This window comes from Homo sapiens, chromosome 1, assembly GCF_000001405.40.
Source record: "Homo sapiens chromosome 1, GRCh38.p14 Primary Assembly".
Lineage (NCBI taxonomy): Eukaryota > Metazoa > Chordata > Mammalia > Primates > Hominidae > Homo > Homo sapiens.
The window spans coordinates 149,988,933-150,016,374 of record NC_000001.11 but is presented as its reverse complement, the minus strand read 5'-3'; the positions used below and the strand labels follow the sequence as shown (position 1 = coordinate 150,016,374).

General features: G+C 41.2%; 1 protein-coding gene and 1 long non-coding RNA gene across 11 annotated transcripts in view, besides 5 other annotated features; one reads left to right on the top strand and one right to left on the bottom strand.

The window, feature by feature from the left end:
• The window catches only part of LOC124904413 (uncharacterized), a 45,061-nt gene extending 41,149 nt beyond the window's left edge, over positions 1-3,912 (bottom strand). Inside the window, exon 1 of the long non-coding RNA XR_007066598.1 lies at positions 3,850-3,912. This is a non-coding gene — a long non-coding RNA (uncharacterized LOC124904413). The remainder of the gene's footprint in view (positions 1-3,849) is intronic.
• OTUD7B (OTU deubiquitinase 7B) overlaps positions 1-27,442 on the top strand; it is a 129,842-nt gene that overhangs the window by 51,279 nt on the left and 51,121 nt on the right. For 2 of the 10 annotated variants that reach the window (XM_047425720.1, XM_011509784.4), the window contains exon 1: positions 5,649-5,689. The exons of 3 other annotated variants lie outside the window; for them this stretch is intronic. The gene's annotated coding sequence lies outside the window, so the exon portion shown is untranslated. Of the gene's footprint in view, positions 1-5,648; positions 9,671-27,442 lie in introns of those variants that run through there. 5 more of the 10 variants (NM_020205.4, XM_011509782.2, XM_047425717.1 and 2 more) reach the window with 3 other exon arrangements.
• Positions 5,488-5,537: a silencer, noted in NCBI's record as "silent region_1292". NCBI's record gives its function as "represses an Ori minimal core promoter by ATAC-STARR-seq in GM12878 lymphoblastoid cells {active_cell/tissue: GM12878}" and the evidence as "EXISTENCE:reporter gene assay evidence [ECO:0000049][PMID:35858748]".
• Positions 5,798-6,087: a silencer, noted in NCBI's record as "silent region_1291". NCBI's record gives its function as "represses an Ori minimal core promoter by ATAC-STARR-seq in GM12878 lymphoblastoid cells {active_cell/tissue: GM12878}" and the evidence as "EXISTENCE:reporter gene assay evidence [ECO:0000049][PMID:35858748]".
• Positions 5,798-6,904: a biological region, named in NCBI's record as "H3K27ac hESC enhancer GRCh37_chr1:149981420-149982302".
• Positions 6,022-6,904: an enhancer, noted in NCBI's record as "H3K27ac hESC enhancer chr1:149981420-149982302 (GRCh37/hg19 assembly coordinates)". NCBI's record gives its function as "activates a minimal SCP1, AML or CMV promoter by ChIP-STARR-seq in naive H9 embryonic stem cells {active_cell/tissue: H9 hESC(naive)}" and the evidence as "EXISTENCE:reporter gene assay evidence [ECO:0000049][PMID:30033119]".
• Positions 6,608-6,657: an enhancer, noted in NCBI's record as "active region_1668". NCBI's record gives its function as "activates an Ori minimal core promoter by ATAC-STARR-seq in GM12878 lymphoblastoid cells {active_cell/tissue: GM12878}" and the evidence as "EXISTENCE:reporter gene assay evidence [ECO:0000049][PMID:35858748]".

Here is a 27,442-nt window from a genome sequence, read left to right as displayed (position 1 = left end):
TACTAGCACACCACTGGTGGTCAAGGAAGTAGAACACAAATGTAGAAATGGAAATGTAGAAATGGAGTTAAGACCAGGCTGGGTTCCCTCTTACAAAGGAGATTAAGGAATTTTCAGTTTATCCATTGACACTGAGGTATTGTTGATGACATTTTACTCGTTGGGATTATTTTGGTTACAAGCAATAGAAAGACTAAATTTGAAATGGCTCAAAAAATAAGAAAGATGCATTTATCCCATATAACAAGAATTTCAAGTTGGACCACTCTGGGATAGGTTAATTCAGCAGGGCACCAAAGACCCAGATTCTTTTAATATTTTTGCTCTGTCATCCTCAGTATGTCAGTCTGGCCTCTGACCAGCACAACATTTCCAAATCCAACAACTTTCAGCAGCAGAGGAAAATAATTTATTCTTTCTTTTCATCTCTTTGTAAGAGCAAAGAAGACTTTCCCAAAAGCCTCCAGCGGATTTTCTCACATCTCGAATTGGTCAGAACTCTATCACATGCCTAGATCAAGCACTGGCAAGGGGAAGGGAGCCCCATGATCCATTAGTGTTTCACCCGTGTTCCTCCCACTCAGCCCCCGCCCCCTCTACTGAGGCCAATCTCCCCTGAAGCCATGTACAGCAGGCTGGTTACTTGAACCTAATCAAGGTTCTATAGGCATGGAGGAAGAAGGAGGATGGACATTGGTTAAGCAACCAACATGTTTGCTAGAGTTTTTGAAAAGAGAGAAAACATCCATGAAATAATTTAGGAAGTGGCCGGGCATGGTGGCTCACACTTGTAATGTCAGCACTTTGGGCTCACGCTTGTAATCTCAGCACTTTGGGATGCCGAGGAGGGTGGATCACTTGAGGTCAGGAGTTCAAGACCATCCTGGCCAACATCTCTACTAAAAGTACAAAAATTAGCCACGCGTGGTGTCACGTGCCTGTAATCCCAGGTACTCTGGAGGCTGAGGCACGAGAATTGCTTGAACCCGGGAGGTGGAGGTTGCAGTGAGCCGAGATTGCACCACTGCACTCCAGCCTGGGTGACAGAGCCAGACTCCATCTCAAAAAAAAACAAAAAAAAAAAGAGAAAGAAAAAAAGAAATTTAGGAACCATAATCTTAGCACTGGTGTGCAAGCAGATAGAGGGCCTGGGATTAGGGAGGCTCAGCTATACTATTACAAGATACTAAATATGAAATAATAATCTACCAAAGCAATGCTTTCATTTGCCAAATGGCTGCCAATTCATTCATTCATTCATTCACTTAATAGATATTTAATAAATGACTGTCGTGGGTCAGATACTATGCTAGGTACTATACACAAAATGGTAAACTTAGCTAATGGAGTGTCAGAATCTGATGGGTGAAGTAAATATCAATCAAATAATCCACAAGTAAATGTAAATGTTTAACCTGGTTAAATGTTATCAAGAAACCCTGGATTTTTTTTTAATTGAGGCAAAATTCACATATAGTGATCTTAAGTATACAATTTGATGTCTGTGTGTAACAGCCATCCTTATCAAGACACAGAACATTCTCATCACCTCAGAAAGTTCCCTCATGTCCCTTCCTATTTGATCTTCACCTCCCTCTAATAGGTAACCACAGTTCTGATTTTTATCTTCAAGATTACGTTCGCCTGTTCCTGAATTTCACATAAATGGCTTTTTTTGCACCACAAATGAGTCCAAGATTCATTCATATTGTTGTGTTTAATGATCATTTGTTTTTTAAATTTGTACTCCATTGTAAGAACAATATAAGTAATTTTCTGTTGGTGAACATTTAAAATGTTCTAGTTTGGAGCTATTATGAATAAAGCTATAGTGAACATTCACGTATAAGTTTTTTGTGTACACATATATTTCATTTCTATTGGGTAAATTCCTAGGGAGTGGAATTACTAGGTTTTAGGGTAGGAATGTGTTTAACATTATGAAACTTCCCCTCATACAGCTTTTTTTTTTTTTTTTGAGACACTTTCTCTCTGTCACCCAGGCTGGAGTGCAGTGGTGCAATCATGGTTCCCTGAGCCTCGATCTCCCAGACTCAAGTGATCCTCCCACCTTAGCCTCCCTAGTAGCTGGGACCACAGGCATGCACCACCATGCCTGACTAATTTTTTTTTATTTTTGTAGAAATGGGATCTCCTTATATTGCCCAGGCTGGTCTCAAACTCCTGTGCTCAAGCCATTCTCCTGCCTTGGCCTCCCAAAGTGCTGGGATTTCAGGCAGGATCCACCATGCCTGGCTGAGCCCCTACTATATATATATATATATATATACACACACACACACACACACACACACATATATATACACACACATATATACGTATATATACGTATATATGTGTGTGTATATATATGTGTGTATATATGTGTGTGTATATATATGTGTGTGTGTGTGTGTGTGTGTGTGTATATATATATTATTTTTTTTTTTTTTTGAGACAGAGTCTCACTCTGTTGCCCGGCTGGAGTGCAGTGGCGCGATCTCGTCTCACTGCAAGCTCCGCCTCCCGAGTTCACGTCATTCTCCTGCTTCAGCCTCCCAAGTAGCTGGGACTACAGGCGCCCGCCACCTCGCCTGGCTAATTTTTTGTAGTTTTAGTAGAGACAGGGTTTCACCGGGTTAGCCAGGATGGTCTCAATCTCCTGACCTCATGATCCGCCTGCCTCAGCCTCCCAAAGTGCTGGTATTACAAGCGTGAGCCACTGCTCCCAGCCGAGCCCTAGATATTTTTTTAAAAAATATGGATTCATGGTCTTCAGTTCCAAGAAAGAATTCTGCGTCAGTCTGAGGTTCCTAGGCATGTATAATATGTAGTTTTTAAAAACTCCCCAGAACCAATGGTCTAAATTATATTGGTGGCGGTGGAAAGGAAGTTATTTTGGTTTGGTTTTCTTTTCCACCACAAAAGCATATAAATGTAAATAGTTTTTTTCCCTGCCTAGCTACAACCTTTCTCTGAACATTTTCCCCAACTCTAGCCATTAGCCCCAGTATTGAAATAGTCTCTCTTTTTAGTTTCTCTGGTGAAATGCAAAGCTCTGGTTTTTCTGCTCTTGCTTAAAGTGATGTAAAAGCTCAGGGAGCTCCTTGAAGCAGCCCTTAGAATTGCTAAGACGAGTAAACAAAAACAGATCTCTAGGGTGGAAAAGAACTTTGGACAGAATAGCAGTTGAGGGTGTGTGGCCCTGTGTACACCGGTAGGATTTTGTCTGGTGCTTTTACCTTTTTTCCCTTACTATTCTACCTAGCAGCAAGAAATAGTCAACTGTGTTCTGGCTGCTGCCAATGTCTACATTAAACAGCTGCCTCTGAGCATCCAACCTAGTGCCAGCCTAAATGGCTGCATATCACTAGAGAAGAAGCCTCTAGTTTCTACGCAGAGAAACTGAGACACAGGAATGGGAAGGGAGTCACTTAATGGATTAGGGACTGGTTGAGCTGGGACCAGAACCCAGGTGGCCTGGCTCCCAGCCCAGCTGACCACACTGCTACCCACACAGCCTGGGCTGACCAAAGACAAGCAGCCCATTGAGCAACTGCACAAACAACAATGAATGATGGATGGTCAGAGCAAGAAATAGGCACAAAGCAACTGTGACCCCATCACTTCCTGGCCCCTAAATTTCCAGGCAAGCCTATAAAGTGTGGTCACTTAAATGACTTTGACCAGCAACTTGGCCCAGCTTTCAAATCTGGAGACCTTCTATGGTCACTGCCAAAAGAAAAAGTCTTATATTGAGGGTAGAGTGCCTTTGAGCTCCACGCCTGGTTCTATTAAGTCTGTGGCAGTGGCGTTAAGATTAGAAAGACATATTTATATGGGTATAACCTGGTTCTGGACAGCTGTGGTGAAACAAGGCAACTTTCAGATTTTGAGGCTCCTCTTCTACAGATCTGTGCTCCCATCTCAGATTTAACTAGCAAAGGGTAGGTGTGGTCAGTGATTGTTGTCACAATCATTCCAGAATGTTTGTGTAGAGTTACTAGAATTTCAGTCTTTTCATTCTAAAGTATTTTCATCCCTCTCACCTTTCTAGAACGACACCCTTTTCAGCTCCTTTCCAACGGCTGTAGCCAACTGATTCTACCCCAGAGTCCCAAGCGTCCACCCCCGTACCCTTCCAGTTCAGTTCAGTTAGAGTTCAGTTAGAGTCAATTTAGGTGACCAAATCTCATCCTGCTCTCCTCCTTAAATTTACCACTAAACGGTAGCTAAAATTTGTGGTCCCTTATACGCTTGAAGCCCACGCCAAATGACTTTACTTGTCAACCTCTATTGTATGTCTTGGATATGCCCCCATGCAAGGCACTCTGACTTGTTTGGCCTTAGCATGTGTGGACAGCCTTGGGCCCAGCCCTAAATTTTCGATTGTAAACCCAGGTGTATCCCTAAGAGATATAGCTGTCTAGGAAGTTTCCCTGTTTCAGGTGTCAGTTTCCTATTCTGAGCTAGACAATTCTAAAATGCCTATGCCCCACGCCTCCCCTTTAGAAACTGAGGAAGAAGTGAGGGGAAAGAAAAGTTGACTAGAGTATTTGTTTTTACATAGGCATAATGGGCACAATTAGGCAATACATTATTTTGAATATGCAGACCAGGTGCTATAATGTTAGGAATCTGAATTAAAATTTCAAATGTCTTTTGTTAGAGTATAGCCGGGGTTGGCATCGTTTTGTGTTTGTCATAAAGAGGTATTTACTAAATGGCCTTTCTTTCTTGAAACAGTCCACACAGGCCTAATACTTATTCATTCATTCAACAAATATGGAAGGTCTACTATGTGACAAGGATGGCTTATTATGTTCTCATAGCCATAGCTCATTGTCACTCAGGTAGGACACATACAAGTTCTGCTACATATAATATAGTTTTATGTATTTTACTAAATTGTAAAACCTTTGATGTCTGGGATTATGTCTTGTTAATTTTTGTATCCCCCTGTATCACTGAGAGCAGTGATACACATCACAGGGATACAATACATATTTGAATTATGCCATAATGTTTTAAAAGACATAACAAACGCACTAGAAGACATAACAAACGCACTATGTAAGTTTTTTTTACTGTTAGCAGTCTAAAGCAGATGTATCAACAGGGTATCACTGTTATGCAAGTAAATAAATATTAAGTGTTTACAGAGAAGGATATGTTCACTTCAAGAGTGAAGGAACAAGAGAAATATATAATTGGGTGGAGACTGGTGTGGAAGAAGCTAATCTTCCTCCGGTCACTCCAGAATGATTGTGTAGAGTTACTAGAATGTCAGTCTTTTCATTCTGAAGTATTTTCATCTCTCTCACCTTTCTACAACTACTCCACCCCTTTCAGCTCCTTCCCAACGGCTGTAGCCAACTGATTCTACCCCAGAGTCCTAAGAGTCCACCCTGTACTCCTCCAACTCCTGTTCAAGAATGCTCCAGACCAGGAGCTTTAGGGACTCGGGTCGGGAAAACACGGGGTCACGCGCGGGGCAAGCGCCAAACTGGCCGCAGCCTGGGGAGCGGCGCTAAAGGCGGGGCTGCGACGGGGCGGAGCGGGAGGAGGCCCGGGGGCGGCCTGGGTGTCACCACCAACCCGCTCCGGCCGGAAACTGGCGCCTGTTTCCGGCCGGACAGCAGAAAGCCACCGATCCTGAACCAGCCGCCGGAGCCGGAGTGGCGACCGGGTGCGGAGTGGGCAAAAAGCCACTGGGGGAGGCCAGTCCCGATCAGTCCTTTCTGGCTCCAGCTCCAGATCCCGTGCGGAGCAACAGCTGCGGTCGCAGTCTCCACCACCGCCTCCACCTCCATCGCCGTCGGGGGAGGGGCCGGCCGGACCCCGGGGTCACTGCCGAGGAATGAAGAGAGGCGGCCGGGCCCCGCGCTCCGCCCCGGCCTAGGGCCTTGCCCCGGGAGCCCGCGAGGGTAACGGAGCCCCCCGTCCTGACACCGTCCCCCGTCTGCTCCCGCCCCTCCCGGCTTCTCAGACTCGCAAACTCTGCTCCTCAGATCGCCACTGTCCCCTTTCTCCTTTCTGAATCTGTTTCACCCGAAGCCATCTCCCCTCGGCACTCCTTTCTCGCCCTGACTGCTCCTTGCTTCGTCCCGATCTTTCCTCCTCCCTTTCACCTGCGTCCTGCGTTCCTACCCCGCGCTCTCCAGCTCCCGGCCTCCCTTCCTGAGCTGTGCTGGCCAGTTTGGACGGTCCCCCCTTGTCAGCTAGACTTTCGGGAGGGATGGTGGAGTTTTAAGGTGATTAAGATGCAGTGTATTATCCCCACAGTAGGATAAAGTTCATTTAAAATCTCAATATAATACTAAAATGAAAAGCAAATAAGCTTATTCTTCCTATTGATAGCCAAACTAAGGTGCATACAGTAATGGAGGAAAGGCGAGAAAAAGGTGTGTGTGTGTGTTTGTGTGTGTGTGTGAGAGAGGGAGAGAGACGGAGGTTGACGGATTCTAGGGCAGTCTTAAGAACTTTAGAAAAAAGAAAAGTTGCCATGAGCCGATGGAAACTTTAGAAGCTGATGATGAGTAAGCCGGGGGCTGCGTGATCTCACTCTTCTCATAATTACTAGGTTAACGGTGTGGCTCCGGTCGGGATGGAATGGGATTTGTTTACTGGGCCGGCGTATTTTTAGCTTGTCGGCTCACAAGGACCAGCGCTCAGAGTCTCTTTCTCCCCGCTCGTGGTAGTCTTTCTTGTCTAACCTAGGTGGCTTCTCTGGGCACAATAAAGATGTAAAAATTTGAAATTAGAAACTGACTGGTGGAATTTTATGGAAGAAGTTCCCCACAAACTTTTCAGGCAGCTTTTCACGAATGCAAAGCCTAGAATTAGCAGGACGTTGACTTTTATTTTCCTTATCTTTTTATACGTACTACGTAACGCTTTGCTTAGAAATTCACATGCTGCTAATTTTTCAGTCTTTGGCCTCTAGTACTGTATATTTAGGAGATTTTTGAGGAGGCTGGATCCCTTTGTCTTTCAGAATCTATTTCAAAGGTGGAAAAGGACAGAGTAGAGAAAGAGGTGGCGGTAAGACTGGCTCCAAAGAGTTGCTAACCCCTAAATATTTAAAAAAGTTTCTATGCTATGTAACTTCTGAAAACATGTAGAAAATTTTCTTCCTACTAAATGAGATTGCATTCCTGATGGGGAGAAGACTTCAGGGACGGAAGCTGGGTGGCTAGGGAGAATCAGAGGTAGTTAAATATTTGCTGTGTATAACTTACAAATACATTATGCGCAAACAATGAAGAATTAATTATACGCTTTGTCTTCATTGTTTTTCAAGTAGTTCTTTTAACGTTCAGTAACCAACCTGCTGTGCTAGTCTATTGATATTTTGAAGGCTGAACAAAACTGTAAAATAAATGAACTTGATGTTGCTCCTCTGCAGGCTGAATACCCCCGACCGTTCTAATTTCCACTATTGACCCAGCTTGCCTCAGAGCACCTCCCTGACAAAGTGGCCAGTTACTATGTACTTAGAGATTGCAAATCAATGCAAATATTAGCTCATACTAGGAATAATTAAGAAGGTAAATATGCTGAAAACATATATTCCAAAACCAAAATAGATTTTTTCGATTTTACCCTCATTTTTGATTATCACCACCTTTCTGCCAATAATTATCCGTTAACATGAATAATTTAGAATTGAACAGATATCTGCTTTGGACATTACACTTTCAAGATAGAAGGAAAGATGGAAGGAAGATAGTGCCAAACTAATTTTTTATTGTCATTGCCTTATTTGACTTATTCCTTGCTTTTAATACTGAAGACTCCCTCGGAAAAAAATGTAAAACTTTGCCAAAGCAAGAGCTGGCTATCTACTGACTTGTATAAGGCCCGGTGACTGGTAATGAATGCTAATCATTAGGTGGCCTTTAGTGGCCTTATGTTGCCAACAACTTGGAAAATTTCCCAAAGCTTTATTTGTTTAATCTTTCTTTTGAGACCCCTATTTAAAAAACGACTTAATTTGGAGACGAAAATCTAATTTTTAAAAACCACATACACCTTTCCCAGAATCTGTTGATGATCAATAATTGTTTTGATCTGTGTGAGTTGATTGGTGCCAATATTAGTGATGATATCTGGGTAAATTCTATTTATATCTGCATCTAGCAACTCCCTAAGTTGAACTGCATACTTTATTCCAGGGCATGGGGATCAAAGGGGTTGAAGAAGCCTAGGAATGAGTGGAGAGCTGCCTGGTAGTCCACCACTATTCCTAGTTCTCAGGAGGCTTTATTTGCAATTTTGAGATTCAATGTATGTAACCAAAATAAGTATTCTGATTGTTATGAGGGCACTAAGTGCCACTTGTCAAAGTTTTGGAGCTCCTGAGTATCTTAAGCATGCTAAAAGACACTGGCCATTATAGTGTGGGTGTATGTGTGTATGAGTAGCACTCTCCTTACCCTAAACACTCATCCCACCAAAGGGAAAATCCTTAAACAGCGCTTTGAAATGTGACCTCAGCAGTATCTTTCCTATGGGAACTTAGGAGCTGTGGAATAGCAGACTGTGGAATCTTTTTTGTAGCCTCTGATAAATTCAGGTAATTAAAAATTTGTGTAACTGGAAGATAGATACAGGGCAGTTTTTCTCATGAATGCCTGAATTCAGTTGACTTTTTAATATAATAGAAGAGAGTTGTTTGTTTGTTTTTAAATAAGACATCCTTGCTGAGTAATGATTGAACACTTCTCTGGATAAAGCAGTCTCCATGCTCCAGTGACAGGCTTTAGGGAGGTATAAAAGATGTAAAGACATGTGTCTTTGCTCTTGGGGTTGAGGGTGGATGGGAAAGGTGGTGTATAAATATGGGAAGGCAGACTATTATGAGCTTTAACATTTAGGAAACAACATATAGACAAAAGCAAATTTAACGTGCTGATAAGTATGTAAGGGCTGAGAAGACTTAAAGTAACAAAGTAAGAATCAGTGAAATAAATTGGGGAGATTTCTGAGTCAGTAAATTTTGAAATGGACTTGGGAGGCTATGGATGAGTCATAAAGAGGTATGGGCTATTGAGTTAGATGGGTCTTCGTTCAGACCTTGCGGCTATTTTTTACCATGTGACCTTGGACAAGTTAACTTCTTTTCCTTATCTGTAAAATGTGAGCATTCAAGTAAATGAAATAGTTACTGTGTTGGGAATAAAAGAAAAGAAAGGATCTTCCAAACAGAAAGTATAGAATGTACAGTGTGCAATGATGATATGAATGACTAAGTTGTGAGTGGGGGGAATATATGAGAGTGACTGTAGAGAATGTGGGTTGGGCAAGTCATGAGTAGAGCAGGCAAGAGGGTGGAGGGGACTCAGAAGCCAGACTCTGTTGGGTGTTGATAGAAGGGTCAATAGAATCATTGTAGGTCCTTGAACAAAGGACGGATTTAATGAGAAATATTGAGCCCTTTGGTTCAGGAACTCAGGGACAAGGAATCAGGCAGGCATCCGTACATTGTGACTCTTATTTTCTGTACCATCCTAACCTGAAGGGATACAGCCAGGAGGCATAAGATTCCTTGTAGAAGTTTTTGTGTTTACACACCTTACTATGCTGAGCCTGCTTGTTCCTGTCTCGTAGTGCACCAACCTGTGGGGAAGTCTCAAGACTATGGCCGGATTCTCCTCAAGAGCTTATAGTAAGGACAGCATTATGTTTCAAGTGCATTTAACTCTCAGTTGTCTCTGCTAATGTAGGGAGCACTGTTGTAGGTAATTCAGAACTTAACAAAGACATTTCCTGGTTATTTTCAACTGTGTTTTTTTTAGGATTATACCTTATCCCTTTATTTCCTCTAAGAAATAGTTTTAGATAAGAAAAATTACTAAACTGTTATTTGTAGTGACCCACTATGAGTTTAATTCTTTGCTAGGTGCTATGGAGGTTTAGGAAAAATGACAACTTTGCTCCCAGACTGAAGTACAGTGGCGCAATCTCAGCTTACTGCAAGCTCTGCCTCCCAGGTTCATGCCATTGTCCTGCCTCAGCCTCCCGAGTAGCTGGGACTACAGGCGCCCACCACCACGCCCGGTTAATTTTTTGTATTTTTAGTAGAGACGGGGTTTCACCGTGTTAGCCAGGATGGTCTTGATCTCCTGACCTCGTGATCCGCCTGACTCGGCCTCCCAAAGTGCTGGGATTACAGGCGTGAGCCAGTGTGCCGGGCCGAAAATACATTATTTTTTAAACTAGATTTATTTTCATTTTTGGGGATCATACTAATATTGAAATAAATTTGCATTTCTAAGCTTATATTACCTGATGGTGGGGAGAGTACACTGATGATGAAGAACAGTCATTCTTGCATTAAAGATTTGGCCTTAGAAATCCGTAAAATGAATAATCCATTTGTAGATAATTAAGACTAGACTACACTGAATATGTTGATAGACCAATTTCTTTTCAAAATCTGTATGGATCCAATGTGGCCTCCTAGGCTGTCTGTCTTATGTCTGAGAATGACTGGCAGGTGATGCTTGTGTTCCAGCCAGAATGAGCCTTCATTCACAGTATCTGGACGAATGCCACTACATTATGTTGTGTTGTTGAAGATTAAGCCGGCTTTCTCAAAGGACTTGTGCTTTGTAGAGGCTCTTCCAGATATCAGCTTCATTGAAAATCTGTCAGACTTTTCCTCCTGTAGGAAAGTTGTTTGAAAGTATGTCCAATTAAAAAAAAAAGGAATGGGCAGAAGTGTCCACATTTAAGAAGTAAACAAAATCACATGCCATTCTTTCATCCCTTTTTTTTCTTCTCCAGTTGACTTGCTTTTCTCCATCCCTGCCACTCTCCCCCACCTCTTTATAATCATTACCAAACTGATGTCACGAGCACAGGATTATTATTTACTTCTTGAGTCAGGAGATTGTAGTATTTCTGAGCTAGAAATCAGGTGGAAAAGTCAGGAATCTTATTTTATACAACTAGATAGGGATTATTTTCAACTGTGCTTTTTTTAGGATTATACCTTAGCCCTTTATTTCCTCTAAGAAATAGCTGTAGATAAGAAAATTACTAAACTGTTATTTGTAGTGACCCACTATGAGTTTAATTCTTTGCTAGGTGCTATGGAGGATTAGGAAAAATGACAACTTTGTGTCCTTGAAGAGTTTACAGTCCAGTTGGGAGTAAGAAGAATAAAAAGGAATGAATACTTGCTGAGCCTCTTAATATGCCACACAAAATTTTAAAATGTGAAACTATATTGTTAGTTGCATAGTGCAGACCTCATACCGTAGGTATTTGGGGAGAGGAGTACTCAGGTAGTTATGTCACAGAGGAATTATAACTCATTTCAGATCTTAATAAAAAAATAGGCCAGGCACAGTGGCTCACGCCTGTAATCCCAGCTACTCAGGAGGCTGAGGCAGGAGAATCACTTGAACCCAGGAGATGGAGGTTGCAAACAGCCGAGATAGCACCACTGCACTCCAGCCTGGGTGACAGAGCAAGACTCTGTCTCCAAAATAAATAAAAAAATAAATGAATAAGTGTTATTGTATTAGGTACAAGGGATGAAGATGAAGAGGATAACAAAACATTTCATATTGGAGCTGAAAGGGATCAAGCGAAAGCCTGGAAACAGGACTATACCTGAGATGTTCTTGGGGCGGTGAGGAGACTAACCTGAGTGGCAGTGAGCAGTAGTGAAATGAAGGTGGGTAGGTTGGTTTGGAGCTATGTTTATAGAGGGTGTTAAAAAGCTAGGCTTATAAGTTTATATATATATATAAAATTTATTTATTTATTTATTTATGTATTTATTTATTTATTTTTTTGAGACAGGGTCTTGCTCTGTTGTCCAGCTCAGGCTGGAGTGCAGTGACACAATCTTGGCTGACTGCAACCTCCGCCTCCTGGGTTCAAGTGATTCTCGTGCCTCAGCCTCCTGAGTAGCTGGGATTACAGGCGTGCACCAGCATGCCCAGCTAATTTTTGTATTTTTAGTAGAGACAGGATTTCACCATGTTGGCCAGGCTGGTCTCAAACTCCTGACCTCAAGTGATCCGCCCACCTTAGCTTCCCAAAGTGCTGGGATGACAGGCATGAGCCACCGTGCCCGGTCAACTTTATATTTTAAATGGTAGAAGATTTTTGAATAGAATAGCAGTATGATGATACTAATACACAGGTTGGCTGGGAGGGAATGGAGATTGACACTGGGGGTGTGTGAAGTGATGAGGCCCGAGTTAGAGTTGTGGAGGGTAGGCTAAGGAGAGGAAAGAGTGAAAAAGAGACTGTGAAGGAAAAATGGAAATTAATGAGGGGTGGATGTGGGAGATGAAGAAGGGTGATGAGTCAACTACAACTGTGACACGTTGTGCCTGGGTGTCTGAGACATTGAGTGAAATAAAGAAGTTAGGAAGCTTTCCTCATTTTGGGGAAATATGATGAGTATAATTTGCGATGTGTTGGATTTAAAGTGGCAATGAAATGTCCAAATGAAGGCTGTCCTGGGTGTGAGCTGGAGTAAAGATGGGGGTAGGTTTGGAAATGCAGTTTTGCAATTCATGGCCTAGATGTGGTAGCTGTAGCCAAGAGAATTAATAAGCTCTCTGAGGACTAAAGTTTAGGGAAAGAGCAGAAGGGCAAAGAAAATGGTACTGATAAACCTAAACACGTCTAAACCTAAACATGTCTCCTATCTTGTAAACACCATCCTAGGCACTGAGATGGAGGTAAGGGAGACAAGGAACCCACGAGGAGCGTATGGGTCTAGTGGGAGGAGACAGATATGTAAATATATAGATAGAATGAAGTGTGATAGATGCTGTGATAGAAGTATGCAGCAGGGAGAGTGGGAGCCCAAGGGTCAGTTCTGCCTTGGGCATGCTGAGGTTGGAAAGAGCCTCCCTGAGGAGTTAGCATTTGAGCTGAGTCTTGAAAGATGAATTAAGGATATACTCTACAGATGACAAGAATTACATTCCAGTCTGAGAAAATACCATGAACAAAAGCTTAAAGGAATGAAGGCCAGACTTCTTCAGGTAACTTTTACTTAATCATTATGGCTGGAGGATGGGATGGAGGGCAGGCTGAAGAGGTAGGCAACGCTGGATCATACAGAGTTTTTATCTTTTTTTTTTTTTTTTTGAGACAGAGTCTTGCTCTGTCACCCAGGCTGGAGTGCAGTGGCACAATCTCAGCTCACTGCAAGCTCCGCCTCCCGGGTTCACGCCATTCTCCTGCCTCAGCCTCCCGAGTTGCTGGGACTACAGGCGCCCGCCACCATGCCCGGCTAATTTTTTGTATTTTTAGTGGAGGCGGGGTTTCACCATGTTAGCCAGGATGGTCTTGATCTCCTGACCTCGCGATCCGCCCGCCTCGGCCTCCCAAAGTGCTGGGATTACAGGCGAGAGCCACCACGCCCGGCCTGGAGCTTTATCTTATACTGCAGTATATCAGGAGCCATTTAATACGTTTCACATCCTAGAAAGATTATGTCAGTGGTGTGTAGGGTGGATTGGAGATGGAGAAAGCAGAATTCCTTTCAATAACTTCATTATACTGAACACATTTATTGAGAGTGATCATATTTACAGATTCATGGAATCAGACAACTGGCGGGGCTGCGATGCTTTCTTAGTTTTCCTCATTCATTTTCAAATAGAATACCTGAGGTTTACTCAGGATCACAGAAGTGGTTCTGTGATAGCTTAGTCTAGAATTCAGTCTTCAGCATGTACTAGGTGATTAATAAAGGTGAATTCACCTCTCTCTTCTCTCCCAAGTCCCATTTCAGTGTTTGTGTCATTCTGCCACATTGCATTGTACTAGCAGATAGAAGGACTTAACATCATTCCATTCTACCGTCTTTTTTTAACCAGTCCAAAGTGAATAGAGGTATTTTCCTAGGTCTGACTGAGAAAGATGTTCCCTGAGAGTACCATTGGGAAGAGGGGCAGTTCGGTGCCCTGGACTGGGCTGAATGAGGTGTTAGGATTTTTCAGCTGTAGTGATTCAGATGTAGAAGAATGTCAAGGTATTTGTTTTGTTGCATGTCTTTATCTCTGCCACTAAGCTCCCTTTAAGTTGTTTTCTTTTAAACTTAGTTTTATTTGTGCCACTGAAACTTGTTAAATAAGCTATGATAAATTGGGCACTGATTAAAAGTATATTTATCTAAAAAAAAAAGAATATCTAAACAAAATTTAGAAAAGTTCAGGGAAAAAACCCAAACAGAAACAATTTTGAGCCTACATCCCAAATTTGATGGACATTAACATTTTGTCATATTTGTTTTAGATGTCTTACTCTCTTTAAAATATTAAATACTCAGATTCTGCATCTTCCCTGTATTTTCATTTTCATTGGATTTTTGTGGAGGGAAATTGTTTGGTTTTAAAGTGCTAAGTGAGAGTTTGGATTTTGTGTTTTAGTCACTTTTGCTGGAGGAGAACAGAACAGGGTAGAGGGCATCCTCTAAGTCCTTAGATTCCCCTGGGAGAAATTGGGACTTAAGGACGTGTGGAAGGATGGATACCTTCCATTGATAGGCCTTCCTCAAAACTTGTCTGAGTTGTGATTTTTAAATTCTTTTCTCTGGGCTCTGTCAGCATCTTCCCCAGAGAAGGGCCTTGGTTTGGAAGCTGTCCACTTAAGCAGAGCTGCCAAGTCTTAATTCTTTCTCAAGTGGGCAAGGGTACATTTTGTTTTTGTTTGTGAGTATTTGGGAGAAGGAAGGGGTGGGTAGAAAGGAGGCACAGAATAGCTACTCACAGTGAGTACTTATCTGAATTCCTGTGTAACTGGAAGCTTTCTTGGCTGTTTTAGGGGAGATAACTTGGTTACACTAGCATTTAAATTATGTGGGAAGGTGGTTTTTCACTCCCCTCTGCTATCTGATTTGAGATGGCAATAAACCTTCTTGTCCATTTTTGTCAGTCCTCACTCTACCCTGTTCTAAGCGCTGCTGTTTGAGGGATGTGAAGGCTCCTCTTCAGTCTAAAACTGAACAAGTCAGATATCTCCTTATAGTTTTGGGAAACCATTCTGCTCCTGACTGTTTTTGTGTTGACTCCTCTATTCATCAAATCACCTGGCCCTTTATTAATTTTACAATTTTGCATAATGAGATATTTCAAACATTTAGAAAAGTTCAGGGGAAAAACTCAGGCAATTTTGAGTCTACAACCCCAACTTGATGGACATTAACATTTTGTCATATTTGTTAGATGTCTTACTCCCTTTAAAATATTAAATGTTATAGATATAGCTGAAGTTCCACCCTGCATCCTTTCCTCCTTCCTCTTTCTCAAGAAATGACTACTGGCCTGAATTGATGTGTTCATTCCTTCATGTTTTATACTTCCTCTGCCCCGCCACATCTTTATTTATTTATTTATTTATTATTTATTTATTTTTGAGATGGAGTCTTGCTCTGTCACCCAGGCTGGAGTGCAGTGGCACGATCTCTGCTCACTGCAACCTCTGCCTCCCGGGTTCAAGCGATTCTCTTGCCTCAGCCTCCCGAGCAGCTGGGATTACAGGTGCGTGCCACAGTGCCCAGGTAATTTTTGTATTTTTAGTAGAGACGGAGTTTTGCCCTATTGACCAGGCTGGTCTTGAACTCCTGACCTCAAGTGATCTGCCCACATTGGCCTCCTAAAGTGCTGGGATTACAGGCATGAGCCACCATGCCTGGTCCCACATATGTATTCATAGGCAACATACAGTTTTGTTTTGAAATTTTACATAAATAGGATCATGTATGTATCCTTTTGTAACTTTTTTTCTCAACATTGCTTTTCAGATGTGTCTACAGGTAGATCTAGTTCATTCAGTCACCTAAATTTTAAACCTGTTTTCTCCATTGCCCTCCCCACTTGTCCTGTTTTTTTGTTTGTTTGTTTTTTGTTTTCTTTTTTTAAGACAGGGTCTTGCTCCGTCACCCAGGCTGGAGTGCAGTGGTGCCATCTTTGCTCACTGCAATATCTACCTCCAGCGTTCAAGTGATTGTCCTGCCTCAGCCTCCCAAGTAGCTGGGACTACAGGTGCGCGCTACCACACCCGGCTAATTTTTGTATTTTTTAGTAGAGACAGGGTTTCCTAATGTTAGCCAGGCTGGTCTCGAACTCCTGACCCCAAGTGATCTGCCTGCCTCAGTCTCCCAAAGTGTTGGATTACAGGCGTGAGCCACCATGCCCAGCTCCCACTTGCCCTGTTTTGTTTTGTTTTGTTTTTAAACTTACCCATTCTTAAAGTCCCAGTGTAAACTATCTCTTCCACAAAAACGTTCCTGATTTTCTTTTTTCTCCAGCAGGATATAATCTTTCCCACAACTGGCTTAGAATTCTTTATAAGCCTTTTATATTAACTAATCAAAGTTGTATCCAGGCTACACTCTACAGATACCTACTTAGAGAATATTATAGATAGAATGCAGCTTTGAAAGTGCCAGTGCTGTGTTCTAAAATAGTTCTTTGAAAAGTCAGGGTCATTTTAAATGAGTTAGTCTACTAGTGCCTTTTGAATCATTAACAGCTAACATCAAAAGAAAAGGAAGAGCGAATTCCTCTGAGGCTTTAGTGTTAATTAATATTGATATTTACATGAAGGTAGTCGCATGTGAAGAATTAAGACACGACAGTGGGAAAATACAATGATGCTAACTAACAAAAATGTAGTTTGTTTATTTATTTATTAGGGACAGGGTCTCACTATGTTGCCCAGGCTGGTCTTGAACTCCTGGGCTCAAGCCATCCTCCTACCTCAGCCTTGTGAGTAGCTGGGACTATAGGTGTGTGCCACCATGCCTAGCTCCAACAAAAATATATTTTAGAAACTTATCTCCTCTTATGTGTTCCATTGTGAGCATCTGCTTTTGCCTCCCTTGAACTGGTAGCTCACCTGGCTAAGTATGAAACCATCAATTTCCTGAAAATTTCTATCAGTTCTAAGGGACAGGATTCTCTGACATGAACAATACTTGGTCCCTGTTGTTTACTGACATGAATAGAGACTTTCCATACCCCTTCTTAGAACTCTGAAAATAGAATTTGAGAGTTAGACTTAAGAGTTTCTGTGTCCTAGCTTCTTTGCTTGCCTAAAATAAATTCCTGGCTATTTGGCACAAGGTGTCCTGTCATTTTAACAACTTTAAGTTCCTTCTTTCTCACATCTTTGTAATTTTGTATAATATACTAGTTCATTATGAAAATTGAGATTTAAATCATCTGTGCAAATTTCCCTTGATGTTTGCTGCTTGATTGAAACTACAAATTCCTTTCCACCGAACACTTGGCTGTGCACTGGAATCTGGGGACAATGCACTAAGGAGATGCCAAGGAGGAGTTACCCAGTAAATAAATAAGCAGGAGGAGAACTGGCCCCTTGGGAATTTATATTCTGGGTTACATAGGACATGGTTACATACAGATAAATGCATATAAAGAAAAAAAATGTGAGAAACAAATACAGGCTATGTAGCAGTATATCTAATATCATATAGCATTTTAGAACTGAAAAGAGATTTACATATTGTCATTTTCTAGGTGAGGAAAATGAGACCCAGAAAATTTAAATGACTTGTCTAAGGTAGTAGTTACTGTCAACAGTTTATTGGATATCTGTTCTCTGAAAAGTTAGGCTTCCAGTATATTATAGAAACAGTCAAAGTCATTAAGAACTCACTAATTATTTGTGAACACTGAATATTTGCATAAATAGATAAATAGTAATACAAGTCCAAGGTACTAAGTACCAAGTGAGGAGTACAGTTACATAGCTATATAGAAGTTTAAAGGGAATAGATAGGGAAAAGTTTTACCTTTATGGTAATCTAGACCTTAGAGAAGAGAGAAATATAGCGGGGAAACATTCAAGGTGGAGAACCAGTGAGCTGAGCTCACCTTGTTTTGGGGGCAGGAAAAGTAGTTTGTAGCACAGTGTTTTACCTAGGAGGGCAATAAGATCAGTAAAGTTAGTAAAGTTAGAGAGTTAGATAAATTGGAGTGAGACTTAAATCTCAGCCAAAGGAATTTGGTTTTTATACTTATACTGAAAAATCTCTGAGTAGGGAATTGTATTGTATGAATTAGTATTTTAGGAAAACTGATTCAGCCTTGTGGTATAAAATAGAGGAAAGGATACCAGTTAGAGGACTGTTATAATAGTCCAGGAAAAAGACTGTCTACAAGGGTAATGGTAATGCAGAAAGGGGGAGAGATTTGAGTAATTTGAAGAGAGATAAGGGGAATTTGGTAACTGATTATCGTGAAAAAGGTTAGGTAAGAATGATCACACATTTTCAGTCTGGGTAATAGCAATAAGGAGAGCTGGGTTTGGTGGGTTTCTGATGCCTCTCCGAAGTGGGGTACCTTGGTAGACAGCTTTGAAAGGTACTGAGTCTGGCTCAGCATTCTCAGTGGATACTGAATTCAGGGTTTAAGTAACTGGTTTATGTTTGCATGCCTAGTAAGTAGTAGGACTTGGTGTGTATCGTCCGTTCTTTTGATTGTTGTTTAGTGCTCTTTCTACTAGATCACATTGCTTGAGAAGAGATGGGTCAAGTGGTTAAAAACAGAACAATGCCTGGAAAACAAAATGGGAAGTTGAAGACCACATTATGGTGAGGTTTAACCACAAGCTGTTTCAGTTCCGTATGGGTTTTCCTTATATTTAGACACAAAATGTGTGTACTTAGTCTATCAGGCTCTTAATGCAATAGTGGCCTGGGTTTCTTAGAGCTATCTTCTGAGATTCAATTCGTCATATTCAAGGGGAAAGATTTCTTTAGATTTTGGATTTAAGTGCATAGTCTCTCTGACTCCCAATTTGAAGATACAATTAGTGTCCCCCCACTCTCCCTGCAAGAAGGTAGGCTTGCTTGAGTTGAAAGCTGTGGGTGAAGTAGCCTCAAAGGCCCATTAGTCTTTTTTTTAGTAAAAGGAAGAGAGCTTTAGACCCAAATCTTTGAGACTTATTTACCCTGTCAGCAGTTAAAAACAATTTACTGACATAGATCTTATTACCTGAAAGGGAGAGTAAATACTATAAATCAATTGAGTATTTTTGCTAATAGGAGATTTTTTACAGCGTTGAATAGCCTTAGATCTTTTGTATTTGCTTTTAAAATACATAGTCAGGCATATTTAAGATGTGACTCGTTCCTACCCCTTTTCTTGTTTTCTTCTTTTGCCAGACTTTTATCTATGTGATAACAGATACTTGAGGATTGAAAATACAATTTTCTGAATCAGCTAACACTTGTTATGCACCTACCGTAAGGGACTGGCACTGTTATTTAATTTCGTCTGCCAAGACTAAATATTCTCGGATTTTTTGACTAGGAACTCAGCTGCTTCCTGGAACTCAGCTCCTTGCTGTCACAGTTTTAAGCATTTTTAAATGTTTTCTGCTAGGTAATGCTCACAAGAAATCCTTGTGCCTGTTATTAAGCTTCTAACTCCAGAATAAGCACCAGTCATCCTAGGTATGGCCCATGATGATAGTAATAAACATCTTCTAATGCTTGGCTTCTTCCATGCTTATCCTATCTTATTCGTGGCCACAGCTCGTCTGTCATAACTTCTGACCTGGCTGGAGAATAAAGGGAAGAAAACTTTACTCTTTAGTAGCAAGATCCTAGCCTGAGTTATACTAAACATTTTATATAACACCTCATTTATACTCATAGCAATGCCATAAAATAGATACTGTTATGCAACCTTACAGATTAATTCATTCAAAGTATGTATTAGTGTGATTTAGGCACTGTTTAAGGTCCTGAGGATGCTATAGTGAATGTCAGATGAAGTATCTGCTAAGCAATAGAGACGTTAAATAATTTACCCAAGGTCACAAATCAAGAAAGTAACAGGTAGGATTTAGATATAGCTCTAACGGATTCCAAAAGGAATGTCTGCAACCATTGTTACATTATGCCACTGTTTACATATATTGGATGTTCTCTGTGAATATATAAAGGCATAAAAATAGGTGGAACCCCAGTTTTTTTTGTTGTTGTTGTTAAAAATGGTCTTGATGAATCCAAGAAAGAAATGTGTCTTGGTGCTGAAAAGCATACTTGCACAATAATGCTTTTCCTCTCTTCCCCTTGCCTCTCCCTTCTCCCTCTCCACTCACTTGTACCTGGGTATAAACTGGACAGTGTGACCTGCTTTGGCATTTGAATGAGTTTGTGCTTTGAGAACTAGGAGAATGTTGTTTGCTTGTTTCTTTTTGGCTTCCTGAAAGTTCGTGCCTGCTTGCAGGTTCTTTCTTGTAGCACAATGGTGAGTAATGTGTTGTTAACATTGTAATGTGGTCATGCGAGTTGGAATTTTTTTTGTTTTCCCTCAGTTCTCTCTGATGAGTATGCAGGTAGGGACTCTTGAGTCAAACTTGCCTGCTCAATTCATTCAAATAGAAAAAGCTTTCTGTATTCAGAGGACTAGAAAAGAGTTTTGAGGTTGGAAACAATACCAAGATCCAATGTCTTTTGCCCAGCTGAAATTCAGTTTTGTTAGCATTCTAGGTTTATTCTTTAGCTTGTGCTATCTAAGAGAGGACTTGTTTTAGATTACGGCCACTATTACCGTGTGCCATACCTGGGATGTGTGGTCTTTACTCTGGAGTTAGCATCTTCAGAACAGGTGCAAGGATTTATTTTGAGCATTATCTCGTAGAAAGCATAAAAAAAATGCTGAAGACTTAGAGCGAGTAGCTGAGTTCCAGTAGGAATTGAGTTCCAGTTAAGTTCTAAGGATTAATTAGGTGGGATCAAGGTTGCCAGTGTTTTTTTTTGTTTTGTTTTGTTTTTTTGAGGTGGAGGTTTGCTTTGTCACCCAGGCTGGAGTGCAGTGGCACGATCTTGGCTCACTGCAACCCCTGCCTCCCAGGTTCAAGCGATTCCCCTGGCTCAGCCTTCCTAGTAGTTGGGATTACAGGCACGCACTACCATGCCTGGCTAATTTTTGTATTTTTAGTAGAGACAGGGTTTCCCCATGTTGGCCAGGCTAGTCTCTAACTCCTGACCTCAAGTGATCCACCTGCTCAGCCTTCCAAAGTGCTGGGATTACAGGCATGAGCCACTGCGCCCGGCCAAGGTTGCCAGTATTAGAACTGTCTGGTATTGGAAAGCTAATCAATTTAGTATTGGGGATCCAGGAGTATCTGGGCATAGTTGATGAGGTTAGCGAGATGATTTATGTGGATGTATCTAACCCACAAGTAATGCATGGTACTTGGATTAGGTGCACAATAAACGTTAAATCTTCAAAAGGTCCTTGAATGCTAAATGTTGTCAGTTTGTCTTTCTAGAGCAGCTTCTTTATTGTTAGTATTCCTTCTGTAGAAGAATATTTATTAAGTATTTAACTGTGGGTAAAGCATTTGGGAAAAAGATTGAGGTAAACAAAGATTTATAGTGTCAAATTCTTGCTGAGACTGTAATCTTAACATTTATACACTGAATCAATTAGACCTAGCATTTAAGGGGATAATTTACAGGGAAATTTTTTCTGTGATGTTTGCATTGCTAGAGTCAGTCCAATGCTTTTTTGATAGAAATAACTTCTTGAATTGAAAATGCTTGCTCTTCAATTCCAGTTAAATTGGGTTTGATTAGCCAGGCATGGTGGCATTCGCCGGTAGTCCTAGCTACTCAGGAGGCTAAGGCAAGAGGACTGCCTGAGCCCAGGAGTTTGAGGTTACAGTGAGCTATGATCGTGCCACTGCGCTCCAGCCTGGTTAATAGAGCAAGACTCTTGTCTCTTAAAAAAACAAAAAATTGGGTTTTTTTTTTTTTTTTTTTTTTGAGATGGAGTCTTGCTCTGTCACCAGGCTGGAGTGCAGTGGTGTGATCTCAGCTCACTGCAACCTGACCTCCGCCTCCCAGGTTCAAGCGATTCTCCTGCCTCAGCCTCCCAAGTAGCTGGGTTTACAGGCGCATGCCACCACACCTACCTAATTTTTGTATTTTTAGTAGAGACGGGGTTTCAACATGTTGGCCAGGATGGTCTCGATCTCTTGACCTCGTGATCCGCCCACCTCAGCCTCCCAAAGTGCTGGGATTATAGGCGTGAGCCACTGCGCCCGGCTGGGTTTTGTTTTTGATGTTTGAGATAATTGCCTATGATATTTCCTTTTATCCCCTCTTCATTTTTTTCAGTGAATGAGGTAATAATACATTTGAAAGTATTTTATGAACTGCAAAGTTAGCACTTGTTATCACCACCACCACTACCAATAATAGTGTTAAAAATAATAATGGGATAGGACTCACTCTTAGAAGGGTTGGTTTCTTGGATTAATTTCAAGAAGGCTCAGAACACAATGGATGTTTACCAGATGGCTTGTGTACTAATTGATACCTTTTGTAGTTTTTGTGGAAAGGAGAAGGAAAAACAGAAACCTTCACTGAAAACTTGGCCTATGTAATTGTGGTCATTGTGAAGCATTGCCCATACTACTTGTACCCACTCAGTATGGGGCAAGAAAGTTTAAACAGGATTTACATGTTTGACCCTAGAGGCTTAGAGTACATTCTATTGGAAGCATCTGTCTGCACAGGAAGCAACTCATCCCAGTTTTGGTAAGATCAACCACATTCCTATAATACAGATATTATATAATAGATATTTTAAAATGTATCGATGTAGATCAGTATCTGCTTGTTTTCCCAGATTAGTAAGATTAAGGAAACAGTGCCTTTGACCAAAATATTTGGTTAGATATTATCATAAAAAAACCTTTACAGTCAATTTCTGATGATTGACATTCTTGGAGAGGAACACATGACTTTAATAATCCAAAGGAGTAAATTGTTTAATAAATTTGTTTAGTAAATTGAAAAAGCCTCTCACCTTTTAAAATTTCCTCTTCATCTTTTTCTGTCTCTGGTCTGGCACTTAATAAACCTTTTGTTAAGAAAGTTGGCTGATATCTATCTTGGGGTTTTCTCTGGAACCAGTCCATTAGATGAACTTTTAGAAAGCAGAGATAACGACTTATTGGCTGATGCATCCCCTTCACTTAGCAGCCTGCCTGGCATTAAGAATGCTTTTTGAATGATTGAGTCAGGATGTTAAGGTTTTCATCAGGAGAGAATTGCAGTGACCTGGGCACTACTGTACTGATGGTGGGCCTTCCTCAGGGGAAGAGGAAATATTGCCTCCCTACAAATAAACTTGAATAAATGTGAATGTGAGGGAAGTTATTGCTTTGATGCTTTCAGGCTGTATACTTTCTTTTTTTTGAGACAGTCTCTGTTGCCCAGGCTGGAGTACAGTGGTGCGATCTCAGCTCATTGCAGCCTCCACCTCCCTAGTTCAAGCGATGCTCCTGCCTCAGCCTCCCTTGTAGCTGGAATTATAGGCACGTGCCACCATGCCTGGCCAATTTTTGTATTTTTAGTAGAGATGGGGTTTCCCCATGTTGGCCAGACTGGTCTTGAACCCCTGACCTCAGGTGATCCACCCATCTTAGCCTCCCAGAGTGTTGGGATTACAGGCGTGAGCCACCATGCCCGGCCAACACTTTTGGCTAAGGAGAAGTAATACAGTATGTTAAAAGTTGGTGGTTTATTTCTCTCTTGGTTTTATGTTTTGTCCTGTTCAAAATTTAGCTATAGGCCAGCCCGGTGGCTCACGCCAGCAATCCCAGCACTTTGGGAGACTGAGGCGGGTGGATCACTTGAGGCCAGGAGTTTGAGACCAGCCTGGCCAACATGGCCAAACCCCGTCTTTATGATACAAAAATTAGCCAGGTGTGGTGGTGCACACCTATAATCCCAGCTACTTAGGAGGCTGAGACATGAGAATCACTTGAACCCGGGAGGCCGAGCTTGCAGTGAGCCGAGATTGCACTACTGCACTCCAGCCTGGGTGACAGAGTGAGACTCTGTACTAAAAAAAAAAAAAAAAAAAAAAAAAACACATGCACACAAAACAATTTAGATATAGCTGTGATTTCTGGATGGTGTATGATAAGTAGCTTCAAACTATCAGTAGAAGAGAAAAATTATCCTGATGTCACACATAATCTTGTCCTACCCTCTTGCTACAAAATAGTTATAACATTAGAAGAATACTTACAAATTCAGTTATACCTTTAGTAGTGATGAGCAAAACATAAATGATTATTTGGTTTTGGCATGACTTCATGATTTTCTTATTTTGAGACGGAGTCTTGCTGTGTCGCCAGGCTGGAGTGCAGTGGCGCCATGTCAGCTCAGTGCAACCTCCGCCTCCCGGGTTCAAGTGGTTCTCCTGCCTCAGCCTCCTGAGTAGCTGGGACTACAGGTGTGCACCATGCCCAGCTAATTTTTGTATTTTTAGTAGAGATGGGGTTTCACCATGTTGGCTAGGATGGTCTCGATCTCTTGACCTAATGATCCGCCTGCCTTGGCCTCCCAAAGTGCTAAGATTACAGGCATGAGCCACCGTGCCCTGCCCCATGATTTACTTTATAGATGATTTCCTTTCCTAAATATGGCTTGCTTAAGTGATTAAATTTCCTAGGTATACATCTTTTTCTTTGGTATACATCTGTAGGAGTAAGAGATTTAGCTGGGTGGCTGGGGAAAGGCAGTTTTTGTGAATAAATCCACAAAGTAGATCCCATGGAAAATTGAGGGCTAGTGGTACATGTGAAGTCAAGGAAAGATTACTGGAATGGGAGTAAGCAGATTTATATTCGGTACTCAGTTTTACTATAGTTAGCTCTTTGAATTTGGACAAGTCACTTAATCTCACTCTCCTGGTTCTGTGTGTTGTCATCTGTAACTTGAGGGTATGGAATAAAAATAATCTCTGATGTTCTAGTTCTAAAAGTTTATGATTCTAAAGTGTCAATCAGGAAAACAGACTGACTTTCTGTACCTCACCACCAGGTTTGTTCTACATAAGACCCAAATGTGAAATATTAATTATATAAATGAAGTATATATTCTATGTTCCCAGGTAAACTAGAACTATCAGATTGTGTTATATGCTTGTAACTAATTTTATGTGCATAAATAAAAGAGACTTGGTTTCTTCTAAAAGAAAAATTATTATTATAAAAGGTACGATCAGTAGAAATGAGAGGGCCAAATAGTGCCCAGGATACACTGGGTTAGAGTTTCTGCTTTTTAACACCAACCTGGAAAATGTGTGTGTGTTTGTGGGGTTGGTGGGAGGTGGGGAGGGTAGTAGTGGCTAGGAGACAATGTAGTGAATATGGATATTATTTTAAAAAACAAAATAGTAAGAGTTATTTAGCCTGTGGGGTTTGCACATCTAGACTGATCTGGTTTTGCTATAAATCCCTAGAAAACTGATATGAGCCCCGCATTCTAAGTCCGAATACATAGGCCCAACCTCTGTGCTATCTGGGTATCATTTAAGCTTTGTAAACTTTTTTTTTTTTGCGACGGAGTTTCGCTCTTGTTGCCCAGGCTGGAGTGCAATGGCGCGATCTCAGCTCACTGCAACCTCTGCCTCCCAGGTACAAGCGATTCTCCTGTCTCAGCCTCCCAAGTAGCTCGGATTACAAGCATGTGCCACCATGCCTGGCTAATTTTTTGTATTTAGTAGAGACGGGGTTTCACTATGTTAGGCTGGTCGCAAACTCCTGACCTCAGGTGATCCACCTGCCTCGGCCTCCCAAAGTGCTGGAATTACAGGCATGCGCCACCGCACCTGGCCTAAGCTTTGTAAACTTTTCTATGTGTATATGTTTTCCATCAGAATAGATGGGATTAAAAACCTCAAAAAGTATTTAATTTGAAAAATGTTTATTATGAGGTTATTTATGAAAGTGCTTTAAAAACAAAAAATTATAACAGAGAAGCTATTAGTGAACAGACAGCTATACAAATATAAGTTATATTTATTCATATAGACCTATTTATACATCTTGATGGGACAAATTTGAAACCAGTATGTAACTCACAAGCCTATTTTAGGTGTAGATAACTCTCAATTATCCACATATACGGACTAGCATGAATAGTTTAGAACCACAAATATTTGCTAGGCATCTACTATGTGCTAAGCAATGTGTTAGGCCTGTTTAGAATGTTTTCAAGTATAAAAGAAAGGTGCAGACTTCAAGAATCTTACTTCTGTCTTGAATGTATTCTTGTCCTCCATCCTGGTGAGCTTTTACACGTCCTTAAAGGCTTGGCTAAAAGTTTAGAAGCTTCCCTAACCCACCTGGGTAAACTGGTTGCTTCTATATCTCTTCCTATCCCAATGGGCACTAATAACATGTTTATATTTCTCTCATCAGATCAGAGTGCCTTGAAGGTAAGACTGGGATATCTCCAGGCCCCATGGCAGTGCCTGGTAGATGGTAGACCAACTTGGTAAATTTTGAATGAATGACTGATAGTCAGATTGGAGAGTTAAAATGTGAGTATCAGGAAGGTCAACTAGTATCACAAGACAGTAAATAATAACAGCAGATGCCAGGTGGATGTTTTGAATACTGGGCCTATAGATCAAATGAGATTTAAGTATGGCTAGCAAAGATGGAACTATGGAACTTAAAGATGGAGAATTTTAAAAATGACGATAGTAATAAGAAGTATCCATCTTTTAACTGAATTATATAATTTTATAAAAGACAAATTTCCCTCCCTCCCCCCGCCCCCCACCTTCTTCTTCTTCTTTTTTTTTTTAACAGGGTCTCACCCTGTCACCCAGGCTGGAGTGCAATGGCACTATCATAGCTCACTGCAGTTTTGAATGCCTGGCCTCGATTGATCCTCTTGGCTCAGCCTCTTGAGTAGCTGGGTCTACAGTGTGTGCCACCATGCCCAGCTAATTTTTGTGGGTTTTTTGTTTGTTTTGTTTTTTGTAGAGATGGGTCTCACTGGGACTACAGGTGTGTGCCACTGCACCTGGCCCAAATTTCTAATTGTTCTGAGGCTTTTTTTTTTTTTTGGACAGAGTCTCACTCTGTCACCCAGGCTGGAGTTCAGTGGCACGATTTCGGCTCAGTGCAAACTCTGCCTCCCAGGTTCAAGCAATTCTCCTGCCTCAGCCTCCCGAGTAGCTGGGATTACAGGTGCCCACCACCACGCCTGGCTAATTTTTGTATTTTTAGTGAAGACAGGGTTTCACTGTGTTGGCTAGGCTGGTCTTGAACTCCTGACCTCAAGTGATCTGCCCACCTCGGCCTCCCAAAGTGCTGAGATTACAAGTGTGAGCCACCACGCCCGGCCTGTTTTGAGGCTTTATAAGAAATTAATTAGTACTTGTATGCTGAGGGAAATTAATTTACCAGAAGAAATTTATGAAGTGGATTAATTTCCTGTGGATAACCAAGAGTAGACAGTATAGTAATTTGAATTTTTTTCTTCTATTTCTCCCCTTGAATGGAAATTCTGTAATTTATAGTGAAATGACTAAAGAAATCAAGAAAGGGAGAGAAGATTGTCAGCTACTGAATAAATGTTTGAGAATTGATTCTAGAGAGATAG